Here is a 15,651-nt window from a genome sequence, read left to right as displayed (position 1 = left end):
TTCCTCCATCACCTCCTGCTCTGGGCCTCCTGTCCTGACACAGCTGTGTCCACCACTGCCCCAGCTCTCACTGGGCTCCAGAAACACCCTGTCCTCCTCTAGCCCTTCAGCCCTAGAGGTGGCTTTCTGTCGTGTCTTGGGTGCCTCAACAATGTCCTCTGATGGTTTCCTTAACCCTGCCCCACCTAACTAGTCACTTGAAAAGTGCAGGGTGCTCTGGGGTGGGTGGAAATGTGTGTTTATCTGTGTGTGTGTGTGTGTGTGTGTGTGTGTGTGTGTGTGTGTGTGTTGCAACAGACTGAATGTTTCTGTCCCCATAAAATTCCTATGTTGAAATTGTAACCCCTGATGTGATGCTTTTAGGAGGCGGGGCTTTTGGGAGGTAATTAGATCATGAATTACCTCCCTCCTGAATGGTATTAGTGCCCTTATCAAAAAGGCTGGAGAGAAACCACGCCCTCACCCCTTCAACCACGTGAAGACCCAGGGAGTCTGCAACCTGGAAGAGGAAGAGGGTGTTTCACCCGGAGCCCAGGCATGCTGCACCCCAGTCTCAGACTTCCAGCCTCCAGAACCCTGAGAAATAAATGTTCATTGTTTACGCCATCTAGTGCATGGCCATTTGTTACAGCAGCCCAAACTGACTAAGACTTATCTATACACACACACTCGCCCCTTATAGAGAGGGAAAGGCTACTATAATGATTATTTACCAAGCATGAAGACAGTTCAACCCAAAGCAGGATGTGTGTGAATTCACACCACCAAGAGCCTGAGATGTAATCACTACTACTTTGCTTTTGCTCAAACTGCTTTAAAAAGCAGGGACCCCAGGCCCACACAAATCTACAAGTCCTTTTAGCAAATCAGTCAAAGGGACCTTCCCCTGGCTGGACCCAGCCCTGGGTGCATGGCTTGACGCAGGGCACACAGACCAGATTTCAGCCCCTTTCACTCTCTCACGCAAGCTTACCATGTGCAGGACACCCCACCACTGCCAACCGCACCCACATAGGAGCCCCTTCCTCCTCCTCCAACTAACCCACCCTCTGGAATCCAAGCCCTCCTCACCCGAGAGCCTCCCACCTGCCACTCCTGCCAGGTCACTGCAGGCCCCATGAGGTCAGGCAGCCTGTCCTACGGCCGCATCCTCCCCACCCACTCCCACATTAGCAAAACAAGTACAAAGGGAAGGAAGGACACAAATGGACCCTCCTTCAACATGGATACCAGGAAAAACTGTCATTCCTTACAGAATGGCTTCTCACCAATGTCTTGCCAAAACTTCTAGCCCTGTACAAGTAACACAGCCTGGCCAGTAACTACCTCTAAGTATTCCCAAATGTGTTCACCTCCCGCTCTTTTCACCAAAGCCTCCAAATATTGGTGAACTTACAGAGTGAAAGTGCTGATAAATTATAGCGAGGAAGCAGCAATGTGCATGTCAACAAGCATTTCAACAGAAAGATCGGTATGAATTACAAGGCGGGTGAAAAAATGAAACTCACTTTCATAACTTTCTTAACTCAAAGCAAAGGAAAAACAAGCAATGATTATTTGTTTTTAAGAGGAAAGTATGATGCCAGTTTGTCTCATCAGCCACCACGCAAAGCTGTGAAAGATGGCGTGAGGCAGTGCCTGGTGCCCGCACACAGGGGCTGCTCCATGTATTTGATTTCACTTAATGAGAGATGTGCACTGCCCATGGAGTTAAGAAGAAACTGAGCAGATCTGCTCTGTCCAAAATCTCCTCCAGGAAGCTCCCTCTGACATCAAAACTAGCTGTTATGCAAGAAATCACTCAGAATCAGAATCACAGGAGACAGAACATTGTGCTAGGAAACTCTGGCTGCCACCATTTTACAAAGTTCAACCTACTTGTCCTGAACTCTATGGCCTGGGGCTGTCCTTCTGTGCCATTCGCTGCTTGGGAATAAACGGTGGCATTGTATCGGGTGCCAGGCTCTAACCCGACAAGCAGGACTTCCGTGTCTCGGGACTGCTGGCCGGAGGATGGGTCCACAGGTCCCACGAGGGACTCATCATGCACAGGGGCGGTGGGGCTCCCTGCCCGGCTTCTCTCTGTATTGCTGGCATCTGTTTCAAGCACAGGAGACAAAAAGACATCAACCACAAGAGGGACACATCCCCCATTTTCCTTCGGAGCCCCAACCCCATCAGATGGCCATCAGACAGTGGCCACAGTTGGTGCTCCATCAATATCTGCTCCCTTCCTCCTCCAGAGAGAGAGGCAGCCCCATAAAAAGGCCTGATAGCTCCATCTCCATTTGTACTGTTATTCCAGTAGCACCACAGATATCTGGTGCTTCTCTTTCAAACTCTGCTTATTTCAGGTCATTCTCCCTTCTTTGGGTTGTTATCTTCTCCTGTCCCAGCATGGATTTCCAGGGACAGCTCTGTGAAGCAGACTTTGCTAATCAGACCCCACTCAAGACACGTTTCCCTGGACCAGACCCTGGTTGGTGGGGCAGCTGGCTGGTGGGGCAGCTGCAGGGTGTGAAACAGGAGCAGCTGGGCTCCTTAAGTGTGCAGAGGGAGCTGCTCTGAGAATGAAGCTGATGAACAGAAAGAAGCAAGAGGGAGGGATGAGAATTGCCTCATCTCTTTCTCTAAGGCCTCCCGCTAGCAGGAAAATCCACATGAGCCAATAAATTGTTCCTTCTGTCTGAGCTATCCAAAGTCTGGTTTCTGTCACTCGCAAGCAAGGATCCTGACACCCACTCTGTAGCTCTGTTTTCTTAAGTATAAAATGCAGATTAAGTGCCTGTCCTCCTCATGGAGTTATCCTGGGGATCCTCTGCAAATGCTATGAAACCTGCAAATGACAACGCCAACATCAACCAGCAGACGTGATAAGTTCCTCTGAAGGCCCAACTTGGGTTGACACAGCTGTTAGATAGAAAGCTAAAGGGGCCTCTAACTTTCCTGGGTGCCAGACTCTAAAAAGTTTCAATTCCTATTGCTGTTCTCAGCCCCAATGTGTTCCCCTGTAAAATCAGAACACGTTTCCTTCCTTCCTCATGCAGGTGGGGGATCAAACTAAAATGTGGAGGAAAAGCCCTTTATAAATTCTAAATCTCCATACACATGGAAGAGCAATTTATTTTTTAGAACATTTAGTTACTGAAAGTAAGAACCAGTAAGGGAGACGGAAGGTACCCTTTGTAACTCACCCAAGCCACCTTCTGTGCCCAAGGGGTCTCCCTTTGTCTTATTTGATTGTAGAAGATACGGGTTGATGTTGTATTGAACCCCTGGCTTCAGGCCCGAGATATTGACCTGAAGTCTTGAGTCTTGAGTCAACTCCTCATGGCTTCCAATGCTTTCAAGAAGAACCCGGCAGGAGGCAGTGCCATTGCCATTGCTCCAGGAGAGAGCAGCCTTCCTCACACCCGTGAGGGCAACACGGAGATCAGAAACTGGGATCGGCTCTATTTTAAAAATACAACATGCATTAATGGAACAAGATATATGCAGTCACCTTCATTAAGAATGACTGGGGTTCAGTGCTGGGAGCGGGTTTTAAAAGAAAAAAAGAAAGAATGACTGAGGTCACTGATGTCCCAATGTGACTCACTAAAAATACTTCCTTTCTATCAGAGCCCAATGCATTTCCATCATTTCACAGCAGGGCTGGGGGAGAAAATAATAACACGGAAGAGAAGAAAAAAACCTTAAAACTGAAATTGTTTAGGATCCACACTGTTCTCCAAGATTAACCCCAATAGTGACTGGACACTCTTCTAAACTGTCCCTTTTAAATGGTAGCATTTAATTGTATGTGTTTTAGATATCAGGAACAAAGCCTCAAATAAAGTGACTGTTTACTAATCTAAAGGTCTCAATTCAAGATAATGCAAATAATATCATTTTAAATTACCAAGACATTTCAAGTAAGCAGCACATTCAATATCCCAGCACCAAGGGGATTTTTCAGAAGACGTTCCATCTCCACTATATCCTGGACCTTCCTCCCATCGCGTTATTTGGTTGATGGTGACATAAGTCAAACCACTTCACCCAAAATGACATGCACTCCCCTCACTTTTCCAATAAGAACACGAAGACCCAGAGAGGCAGGGGGGCTTGCTCAAGAACACACACTCCTGGTAGCAGTGGGGACAGGAGAACCCAGGGCTGCAGCTTCATGTACAGAAAAGCACAGGTAGTGCTGCAGATAGAGCAAAACCCCTCCTGAGGGCTGCAGGGGCCTGAAGGTAAAGACATCGGCCTAGATGATTCTAAGGCACCGTCCAGCTCCGAAACGGTAAGATGATTCTTCACAGCACATGTCTCTCATGCAAAGAGTTCTAAATCAGGTCAGTCATGCGTCTTTTTGTTTTATTAAGTAATGCAGAACCAATAAATTCCCAGCTCGGTGACTGTGGATAGCTGTTATGAACATCACTGCACCACAGTGGTCTAGAGTTAGACTCCGGGTTCCAGCCCCACCACTTGATACTCAGTAACTCTGAGACACCGGAAGAAACTTAACTTCTCCACATTACAGTGTCTTCTGCTGCAGCCCCCAGGGTTACTGTGAGGACAAAATAACATTAAGGACAGAGAGGCACATGTGCCGTGCTCAATACGCAGCAGCTGATGGACCTGCTCCCATGCAGCCCTGTGCTCAGGGCTTTAAGCTAGATAAGGACACTCAGCCCCTCTACCGGTGCTTCCTGCACCTCCGCATCCCCTTTCCCACAGCCACCCCCTCGGGGTCACCTTGTCCTCATGACCATTTCCAAGTTCTATGCTCTTTTCTCTCATTCTCTTCTCTTCTGTCATCTCTCTGTGCTCTCCTTTCCCTCTCTTTCACAATGTAACAGAGCAAACCTTTATGGCAGGTTTTCCCCCCTAAAATAGTGCTCTGAGGAGCTCCAGGAGTTTTGTCAGGGTGCCCGTGACTCCCATTTCTTTGGCTCTTTTCTCTCCAGTTTTTTATTTTTACTTTTTGGGCTCCTGGGCAAGGTTTTGTTTAAAGAAATAGTTTCCTGACTTAAAATGTCGGAAGCCACTGGTTTCATATTTGCTGCTCCACGCTGGACCTCGTTCACCTCCAGCCGTGGGCTCCAAGAGCTCAGGCGCCCATGGCCGACTCCAGCCCCTGAGATCACACTCCCCAGCCCCCTAGATCAGAAAACTAACAGAGGACCTCTTTCTTCAATTTTTGGTTCTCCTCACCTTAAAAAAGTTTCTCCACCTGTTTTTTAAAATGTTTGGTTCTTTTCAGCTTAAAAAAAAAGCTAAGTTTGCAGCTATAATAGATGGCTTCGGTATTGACATCTAAGATAAATCAAAATCTAAACTGTCAAATCTGAATTAAAATTTAAATATCATCAAACTCTTATTTCATTTGAAACACACACTCCCCTATAAAATACACCAAACTTTCCTGCCCAACAGAAACTCCTGGGAATATAAACACAGCATCAATTTCCTGGGAGCTTAAAAGGCTGGTAATTACCATGAAGACACGCGTTTTTAAGGAAGTCTCTACTCCTGAGTCTTAACAGAAAGGTAGGTGTTAACCAACAATAACAAAAGATTTTAAAAACCAAACAGAAGTAGTTAGAACTTCCCAAAACACATAGGGCCTTAATACTGAATGATGTGGCCACCAGAAATCCCAGGCTTGAAACAACATAGCACCTTTTCTCCTCTTCTAGTTTATGAAAACCATTCTCTTTCCAACAGGCAACTTGAACGGACAAGGCCCTAGAATACACCATAATAAGAAATGGTTTGTCATCATCCCTGGGAGCCAGTCATCTTACCTGTGATGACTTTTATGACTCTGGGATCTCCCCAAGTCTCATTGCCTATTCCTGGAGTGATGGAGAATACATATGAAGTCGCTGGACGTAAGCCTGTGATGTTACACCATGGTTGATGCACAACAGTAATTGTCTTCTCATTTTCCATCTTATGCTTTACTACATACTTGTACTCAGAAGCAGCTGTGTCATTACTTTTCCAAGTTAAGATCACATTGGTTGGACTGATGGAAACAGCTTTAATGTCAAACACAGGACTGGGCCCTATATTGTTAAAAAAAAAAAAAAAATTATTGCACTTCAAAAAGAAATGTAAGAGTGAGGTCTGCTCTATATGTCTAGTTTCCAGAAGTGACTTTCCAATCACAGAGTTTTATCTCTCTTTGCCTCCTAGACTTCCCTGCACCAGAATTTATTTAAATCCATATGCATACATGTATGTGTGTATGTTAGTAAAACAGAAGCCTTTGGAACAGAAGCAAAACTGACAGAAGTTGACCATGCTGGCTGTGACTTAAAAATGGGGTTAAGTCTGTATAGAAGCTGATACAAAAAGAGACCAAACTTTAGGAGGTCAAGGCGGGTGGATCACCTGAGGTCAGGAGTTCAAGACCACCCTGGCCAACATGGTGAAACCCCACCTCTACTAAAAAAACAAAAAAAACAAAAAAAAATTAGCTGGGTGTGGTGGCAGTCACCTGTAATCCTAGCTACTCGGGAGGCTGAGGCAGTAGAATCACTTGAACCCGGGAGGTGGAGGTTGCAGTGAGCCAAGATCGCGCCACTGCACTCCAGCCTGGGCGACAAGACCGAGACTCCATCTCAAAATAAAAAAGAGAGATCAAAGATGCAAAATGAGTCCCTCTCCCCATTCTCAGAAAACGCTGCATGACGCAGAAGCACATGATAACTTTTTTGCCAAACCCTGACATCTAGAAGGAAGCTCAGTGGTTTTCTGACATAAAGATAGCAGGGACAGAGCAGCGTAAAGAGAAAAGGACTGGTCTTGGAACCCAGATCTGGGATTAAAGACCTGCTCCATCCATTAGCTGTGTGACCTAGAATTAGTCCCTTCAAACCTCTCAGTCTCAAGTTTCTCTGTTGATAGCTCTAGTACACCACACTAAACACGAAGAATTATTATTGAACCACCATGATATGATAAACAAGGGACAAGATTTGGACATTAGAAATCTGGTTTCAGGGTCCAATTCTGCTAGTTGCTCACCATGCAATTTTACTCAAAGTCATCTCACCTCTCTGAACCTTAGTTTCATCATCTTAGATGTACAAGATCGTAAACCAGTGGAAGCCATCAGGGTTACTAACTGTAAAACTACCAAATGGATGCATCCTAATTGAGCTGAAGACTGAGGAGTAACAACCAGAAACCGAAGAGTAAAACCCAGGTGATACGGCAGTCATTCTCAAGGAGCTTGGGACTAATCCCAAAAGAGTAAAGATGGTGTAAGTGTTACCATCTTGCTATGTGCATGGACAGTGTGCCTCATCTGGCTCATGGGATATACAAACATTCATCCAATCAATAAAAAAACTGCAGGAAGCCAGGCACACTGGCTCATGCCTGTAATCCCAGCACTTTGGGAGGCTGAGGCAGGCAGATCAGATCACTTGAGGTCAGGAGTTCGACACCAGCCTGGCCAACATGGTGAAACCCCGTCTCTACCAAAAATACAAAAATTAATTGGGCATGGTGGCAGCCACCTGTGATCCCAGCTACTCGGGAAGCTGAGGCAGGAGAATCACTTGAACCCAGGAGGCAGAGTTTGCAGTGAACCAAGATCACACCACTGCACTCCAGCCTGGGCAACAGAGCAAGACTCTGTCTCAAAAGAAAAAATAAATAAATAAGGCAGGAGAATAAACAAGAGAAAGGAAAATGGAACAAGCAGGGAAGCATCTTGTGCCCCACAATTCAATAAACGTCATGCCAGAAGGCCCCTCCAAGCTTGAATTTCCTCTTTATAAAGTGACAAGTTCACAGAGTCAGAGTGGCATATTTGGAAGATGACCACTGTGCTTCCATTTACAATCAATAACAATGATGGTGACGAGGATGATGAAACAACATCAGTTACAGTGGTGCAGGTAGCAAGAACAGCAGCACTCCTTTTGAGAGGCCGTCCATGTCCCAGATGCTGTACAAGTATGTTCTCATTTATGCCTCACAACAACTTCATGAGAAAGGTATGGCACCATTATTTCTTTTTTTTTTTTTTTTTTTTTTGAGACGAAGTCTTGCTCGTCACCCAGACTGGAGTGTAGTGGCGTGATCTTGGCTCACTGCAACCTCTGCCTCCCGGGTTCAGGCGATTCTCCTGCCTCAGCCTCCCAAGTAGCTGGGATTAAAGGCACACACCATCATGCCCAGCTAATGTCACCATTTTAAAGAAGGAGAAATGTGTTAAGAACTAAATTTTGTTGATTCATACAGGGATTCTGGGAAGGTTTTGGAAAAGCAAGTTCTTAAGTTCAGAAAAGAAAGCACAGTTAACAATATTTTTTGGTCAAATGTTTTTTCTGCATCTACTGAAATGATTGTATGGTTTCTGTCCTCCATTCTGTTAATATGGTGTAGCACATTTATTGTTTTGCACAGGTTGAACCCTTTTTGTATTTCTAGGAAGAATCCCAGTTGATCATGGTGAATGATCTCTTTAATATGCTGTTAAATTAGGTTTGCTAGTATTTGGTTAAAGATTTTTGCATCTTGGCCTATAGTGTTTTGGGTTGTATCCTTGTCTGGTTTTCGTATCAAGGTAATACTGCTCTTGTTAAATGAGTTTGGAAGTATTCTCTCCTCCTCAATTTTTGGAAGCAATTGAGAAGAACTGTCATTAGATCTTCTTTAAAGGTTTGGCAGAGGACTGGGTGGCTCACACCTGTAATCTCAGCACTTCGGGAGGCCAAGGTGGTGGGGGTCACTTGAGGCTGGGAGTTCAAGAGCAGCCTGGGCAACACAGTGAGACCCCATCTCTACAAAAAAATTTTAAAAGTTAGCTGGATGTAGTGGTGCACACCAATAGCCACAGCTACTTGAGAGGCTAAGGCAGAAGGATCATTTCAGCCCAGGAGTTCAACTTACAGTGATCTATGATCACACCACTGTACTCCAGCCTGGGTGACAGAGGGAGTCACTGTCTCTTAGAATAACAACAGTAATAAATAGAAATGGGAGATGGTCTATTACTGATTCAATCTCCTAACTCATTATTGGATTATTCAGATTTTCTATTTCTTCATAATTCAATCATAGTAAATGGTATATGGCAAGGAATTTATCCATTTCTTCTAGGTTATCCAATTTGTTGGCATATAATTGTTCATAATTGTTCCTTTGTATTTCTGTGGTATCAGTTTATAATGTCTCATTTCTGATTTTCTTATTTGAGTAGCGTCTCTTTTTTCTTAGTCTAGCTAAAGCTTTGTCAATGTTCTTTGTTTTCAAAAAAACAACTTAGTTTATTGATCTTTTCTATTGTTTTTCTAGTGCCTATTTCATTTATTTCAGCTTTGACCTTTATTATTTTGTTCCTTTTACTAATTTGAAGATTAGTTTGTTCTTATTTTTCTAGTTCCTTAACGTGCTACATTAGGTTATTTACTTGAGGGTTTTGTTTTGTTTTTTTCAGACAGGCTCTCAAAACCCAGGCTGGAGGTATGAGCTTGCTTTTTTTTTTTTTTTTTTTTTTTTTTTTTTTTTTTGAGACAGAATCTTGCTCTGTTGCCCAGGCTGGAGTGCAGTGGTGCGATCTCGGCTCACTGCAATCTCTGCCCTCTGGGTTCAAGCAATTCTCCTGCCTCAGCCTTCCTAGTAGCTGGGATTACAGGTGTGTGTCACTACACCCAGCTAATTTTTGTATTTTTAGTAGAGACGGGGTTTCACCATGTTGGCCAGGCTGGTCTCGAACTCCTGACCTCAAGTGATCCGCCCATCTCGGCCTCCCAAAGTTCTGGGATTACAGGCACGAGCCACTGTGCCCAGGGAGCTTTCTTTTTTGATGTAGGAGTTTATTGCTGTCAACTTTCTTGGAAGGGCTGCTTTTGGTGTATCCCATAGGCTTTAGTATATTGTGTTTCCATTTTCATTTGCTTCAAGAAATTTTTAAATGTCCCTTTTAATTTCTTCACTGACCCATTGATTGTTCAGGGGCATTTGTGACAAAACAATTAACAATAGTTACTGTGGGAGATGGCAAGATCAGCATGACCCCTGCTGGGGACCTGCTGTAAGTGACCTGGGGACAGATCCTATACCAGGGGCTGTACAAGCATTTTCTAATTTATGTCTCACAGCAATTTCATGAAGGAGGTTATGGCACCATTTTAAAGAAGAAAAAGAAATATGTTAACAAAATTGCTTAAGAAGTGATGTTTGTCTCAAGATATTTTTTAGTTTCCCTTTTAATTTCATCATCAACCCATTAGTTATTCAGGAGCATGTTGTTTAATTTCCATATATCTGTGAATTTTCTTAAGTTCCTCCTGTTATTTATTTCTAGTTTGATGCCATCATCAGAAAAGATACTTGATATGATTTCACACTTCTTAAATCTGTTAACACTTGTTTTGTGGTCTAACATATGATCTACCTGGAGAATGTTCCAGGTGCAGTTGAAAAGTGTGTATTCTACAGCTGTTGGATGGAATGTTCTGTATATGTCTGATACATCCATTTGGTCTAAACTGTAGTTTAAGTCTGATGCTTCCTTATTGATTTCCTGTCTGGATCATTGTCCATTGCTGGAAGTAAGGTGGTGGAAGTCCTCTACTATGAATGCATTGCAGTCAATCTGTCCATTCAGATCCATTAATATTTGCTTTATATATTTAGGCATTCCAATGCTGGGTGCATATATATTTATAATTGTTAAGACCTCTTGATGAATTGATCCCTTTATCATTATAAAATGATGTTTGTTGTCTCCATTAAAAGTTTTGAACTTAAAGTCTATTTTATCTGACATAAGTATAGCTACTCCTGCCACTCTTTAGATTTCCATTAGCATGGAGTATCTTTTTCCATCCCTTCACTTTCAGTCTAGGCATGTCCTTGCAGGTGAGGTGAGTCTCTTGTAGACAGCATACTATTGAGATCGGTTTTTTTTTTTAACCCATTCACGCACTCTATGTCTTTTGATTGGAGAATTTAAACCCTTTACTTTCAAGGTTATTATTGATAGGTAAGAACTTACTACTGCCATTTGGTTGTTTTATAGACTCTTTGTTCCTTCCGTCCTCTCTTACTATCTTCCTTTGAGGTTAAGTGATATTCTCTAGTAGTATGTTTTGATTCCTTGCTTTTTATTTTTTGTGTATCTACTAAAGGTTCTTCTTTGTGGTTACCATGAGGCTTATAAAAAGAATCTTATAGTTATAACAGGTTATTTTATGCTGATGACAACTTTGATCACACACACAAATTGACCTCTACACTTCTAGTCCATTCCCCACTCATATTATGAATTGTTTATGTCACCATTTACATCTTTTTATATTGCATATCCCCCCTGCAAGTTATTGTAGTTATTATTTTTTAAGTATTATCTTTTAACTTTCATATTAAAGATATGTATGACCATTACAGTATTCATGTATTCTGAATTTGACTGTGTATTTATTTTACTAGTCTTATCCTTTCATATGTTTTCAATTAATCACTAGTGTCCTTTTCTTTCAGCTTAAAAACTCTCTTTAGCATTTCTTATAAGACATGTCTAGTGGTGATGAACTCCCTCAGCTTTTGTTTCTCTGGTAAAGTCTTTTATCTTGCCTTCATTTTTGATGGCCAGTTCTGCTGGGTATAGCAATCTTGGTTGGCAGGTTGTTTTCCCTCAGCATGGTGAATATATCATCCCACTCTCTCCTGGCCTGTAAGTTTCTGCTGAGAAGTCTGCTGCTAGCTGAAGTGGAGCTCCCTTACATGTTATTTGCTTCTTTTCTCTTTTTGCTTTCCAAATCCCCATTGTCTGTGATGTTTGACAGTGTGATTATGTTCTGGAGTAGTCTTGTTTGAATTGACTCTGATTGGAGTCATTTGTCCTTCCTGTACCTGGATATTTATATCTTTCTCCAGGTTTGGAGAGTTTTCTGCTACTATTTCTTTAAATAAGCTTTCTACCTCTTTATCTTTCTCTTCCCCTAGATGAACTCCAATTCAAATACCACGTCTTTTGATGCTGTTGCATAAATCCTATAGGCATTCTTCATTCCTTTTTATCCACTTTTTTATTTTTCCTCCTCTGTATATTTTCAAATAATCTGTCTTCAAGTTCAAGGATTATTTCTTCTACTTGATCAGTTCTACTCTTGGTGCTCTCTATTACATTTTTCATTTTGTTCAAAGTATTTTTTAGCTTCAGAATTTCTGTTTGCTTCTCTGTTAAATATCTCAATCTAGTCACTTATTGTTTTCCTCATTTCTTTGAATTCTTTATCTGTATTTTCTTAAAGTTTGCTAGGCTTCCTTAAAACATGTATTTTGAATTCTCTGTCAGACAGTTCATACATCTCCCATCTCTTTATGGTCAACCACTTGCACTTTATTTTGTTTCTCTGGTAATATCACGTTTCCCTGATTATTCTTGATCCTTGTGACTCTGTGTTGATGTCTGTATATTTGAAGAAGTAGGTTCTTATTCCAATCATTGTAGATTGGCTTCCTCTGGAAATGCCCTTCAACAGTAAGCCTGTCCAGTGATTTCTGGGAAGACCATCTGGTATGGTCCCAACCTCTAAGCCCAAATTTTTGTAACAATAATTAACATAAGCTTGCTAGGAATTTTTCTTTTTTTTTTTTTTTTTTTTTTTTTTTTTGAGACAGAGTCTCACTCTGTCGGGAGTGCAGTGGCACCATCTCCACTCACTGCAACCTCTGCCTCCTGGGTTCAAGCAATTCTCCTGCCTCAGCCTCCCGAGTAGCTGGGATTACAGGCATGCATGACCACACCCGGCTAATTTTTGTATTTTTAACAGAGACGGGGTTTTGCCATGTTGGCCAGGCTGGCCTTGAACTCCTGACCTCAGGTGATCACCCACCTTAGCCTCCCAAAGTGCTGTGATTACAGGCATGAGCCACTGTGCCCAGCCCCTTAGGAATTTCTAAAAGTTTCTCATATTACCCTAGAAATAATTCAATGACTTATTTTAACTGTGTATGTGATTTTATCAATACTTCTAGAACTAACAAAACTATTGTATCACAATGTTTTTTATGAAAAATTATAAATAAATAATCTACCTTCCCAACAACAGGGGAGCAGTTAAATAATTTACAATGCTTTTAGACAAGTAATTCTTAAACACTGTGGTCTCAGGGCCCTTTTAACTTCTTAAAAATTATTAAGGCTCCCGGAGAATTTTTGTTTATATGGGTTATATTGATTAATATTTACCATACTGTATTAGAAATAAAAAAGATAAAGTTTTTTAAACAATATGAAAGCATACATTCCATTAGCTGTAAGAGTGACAGTGTCATCCCAAATCATATAGAATCTGCAAGACTCCACTGTACACTCATGATAAAATGAGAGTAAAGAAGCCAAATAACATGTTAGTAGTATTATGAAAACAATACCCAGAAATACCTTGAAAGAATCTAGGAGACCCCTAGAGATCTCTGAACCACAGTTTTAGAATCAATTATCTAACCCAGGTATCAGCAATGTTTTTCTGTAAGGGCCACAGAATAAATATTTCAGGCTTTACAAGCCACAAATTCTCCATTGCCACTACTCAATTCTAGCATGAAAGCAGCCATAGGCAGACTCAATAAAACTTTACTTACAAAAACAGAAAGTGATCTATATTTGGCCCAAGGACCATTATTATCTGCCAACCCTGATTTAGAAAATAGAATGCCAGGCAGGTATTAAAACTGTCCTGTAGAAATGTATATACTAACAGGGAAGAATATTTGTAATATATTGGTGAGAAGCTACATGTAAAGGATGACCTTGATATTTGTAAAACAAAATAAAACATATATATGTATATACATATGCACACAGGCATGCATATATCTTAAAATTATAAAACTCGTATATCAAGTGATCAATGGTTATCTCCAGTTAATGATTTACTTGTTATTCTTTTCTTGTCTATGTTTTATATAATGAATATGCATTACTATCTTTATAAAAATTTTTAAAAAGATTTTCTTAGGTAATTAAAAGAAGAACAGTATTTGGAAAACATGACATTTATAAATTCTACCGATTTCCTTTAAGAAACATGACTGGCAGAAAAGCCTATGCTTACCAGTGCTACTGGGAGTTTTTTGAGATGCCCCATCAGTCCCATTAGATCCTTGTTCAGGTGTTCTTAAACTATCGTTGGCTCCAGAGCTTTCACCATCCTCACTGGTGTTTGTTTCCACCTGAGGTGTTCCAGTTCCATTCTGTTTATGAAAGGATTCTGCTGTACTGCTGATCTGCGTTATGCCATTTTCCCCTGTGGCAACAGTTGCTACTGAAGGGTCAGGAATTGGACTAGGGGCTATGCAAAGAAAGTAAACAATTAGATTAAAAATATATTTCTCCAGGAGACAGGGATGCCCCACCTCACAAAATATTTACACTGAAATGAAATGCACACTTGGAAAAACTGATCCCTCTCTTTCTCTTCTTTGTATCATCACCTACAACATGAGCCCCTCAGAAACTGCCATTTCTGGCCACATGGAGAGTACCTGGCCACGAGAGTGCAGAAGCTCCATGCTTACACTGCACACAGTCATTCACAGGAAAGGAGAGGAGGCGTGAGCTCCTATGGCCAAGAGCTCAGGCACTGAAGGAGAACCTTGGCCACACTGGCTGCTTTATCTTGAATTCATTACTAGTCTCCTAGAGTCTCTGTTCAGGGAGGTGCAGCAGAGACCACTCTTGACCCCCAAACTCCATTCCCCCATTTTCCCTTCATCATACTCCTGGAGATTTTTGGCCCTGTATATGCATAGCTGTTGGGAACAAAGACCACATTTCCCAGCCTCCCATGCAGCTAGATGTTGCATGTGACTAACTTCTGTCAAACAGAGTGTGACCAGACGTTCTGTCTGACTTCTAGCAAGTGTCCTTAAAGGGTGGAGCACAACCTTCTGCCCTTCCTCCTTCTTATAGCTGTAGTGTGGATGCGATGACTGGATCTCATGCTGCCTGGCTCTAGAACCAACACTGTGGCAGTGGCTGCAGCTTCCTGATCCCAGGATCACAGCTCAGAACATTCACCGCTGGATCCAGCAACTACAGCAGGGACTTCCTGATTCCTCCCTCTCTGCTTGCTGTCTATGACCAAGGTGGTGACTCTCTAGGGGGTCAGTTCTGCAGCCTTAGTCTGGGAGTAATTTCTCAGGGCCAGGCCTAAAGCCTCCTCCCCAGCTGTTATGAGCTGACTTGTGCTCCGCCACCCCCAAATTCATATGTTGAAGTCCTAACCCCCAAGACCTTGATCTTATTACAGCAGCCCTGGCAAACTAATACAGCGGCCCTTCCAATGACTCTGTAAACTCTCACTTCCCAGGGTAAATCCTTTCAGTTAAAATAGCTCATGATTTCTGTTTCCCGCAATTCTACTACCTACGGTAGATGTTTGAATAGAAGTGTTCTTCTGCAGCAGTGATTCAAGCCTGTACAAGGTACCCACCAGTTTATTTATTAAACTAATTAACAGGAAGAAAAACCAACGGCAGTACTCTTCCCATTGTTTGCACAGGCTCTAATTACCATTATTAATTGAGATTTGCTTTATTAGAAGATTTCAGCAAGATCTGCCCATATATGCTTCCATGAGTACAATCTAATTATTTTATCTCACAAACTGAGATTTTACCAAT

General features: G+C 42.1%; 1 protein-coding gene across 4 annotated transcripts in view; it reads right to left on the bottom strand.

Moving 5' to 3' along the window:
- PTPRJ (protein tyrosine phosphatase receptor type J) overlaps positions 1 to 15,651 on the bottom strand; it is a 190,281-nt gene that overhangs the window by 43,775 nt on the left and 130,855 nt on the right. For all 4 annotated transcript variants that reach the window (NM_002843.4, XM_017018085.2, XM_047427374.1 and 1 more), the window contains exons 3-6: positions 14,082 to 14,318; positions 5,799 to 6,062; positions 3,195 to 3,452; positions 1,879 to 2,097 (exon numbers count right to left, since the gene is read on the bottom strand). In NM_002843.4, the coding sequence (NP_002834.3) occupies positions 1,879 to 2,097; positions 3,195 to 3,452; positions 5,799 to 6,062; positions 14,082 to 14,318 (978 nt within the window). The remainder of the gene's footprint in view (positions 1 to 1,878; positions 2,098 to 3,194; positions 3,453 to 5,798; positions 6,063 to 14,081; positions 14,319 to 15,651) is intronic.

The sequence above is a fragment of the Homo sapiens genome, chromosome 11 (assembly GCF_000001405.40).
Source record: "Homo sapiens chromosome 11, GRCh38.p14 Primary Assembly".
NCBI classification, from domain to species: domain Eukaryota; kingdom Metazoa; phylum Chordata; class Mammalia; order Primates; family Hominidae; genus Homo; species Homo sapiens.
Note: the sequence above shows the minus strand (reverse complement) of the source record. Positions and strands in the feature narration are given on the sequence as shown.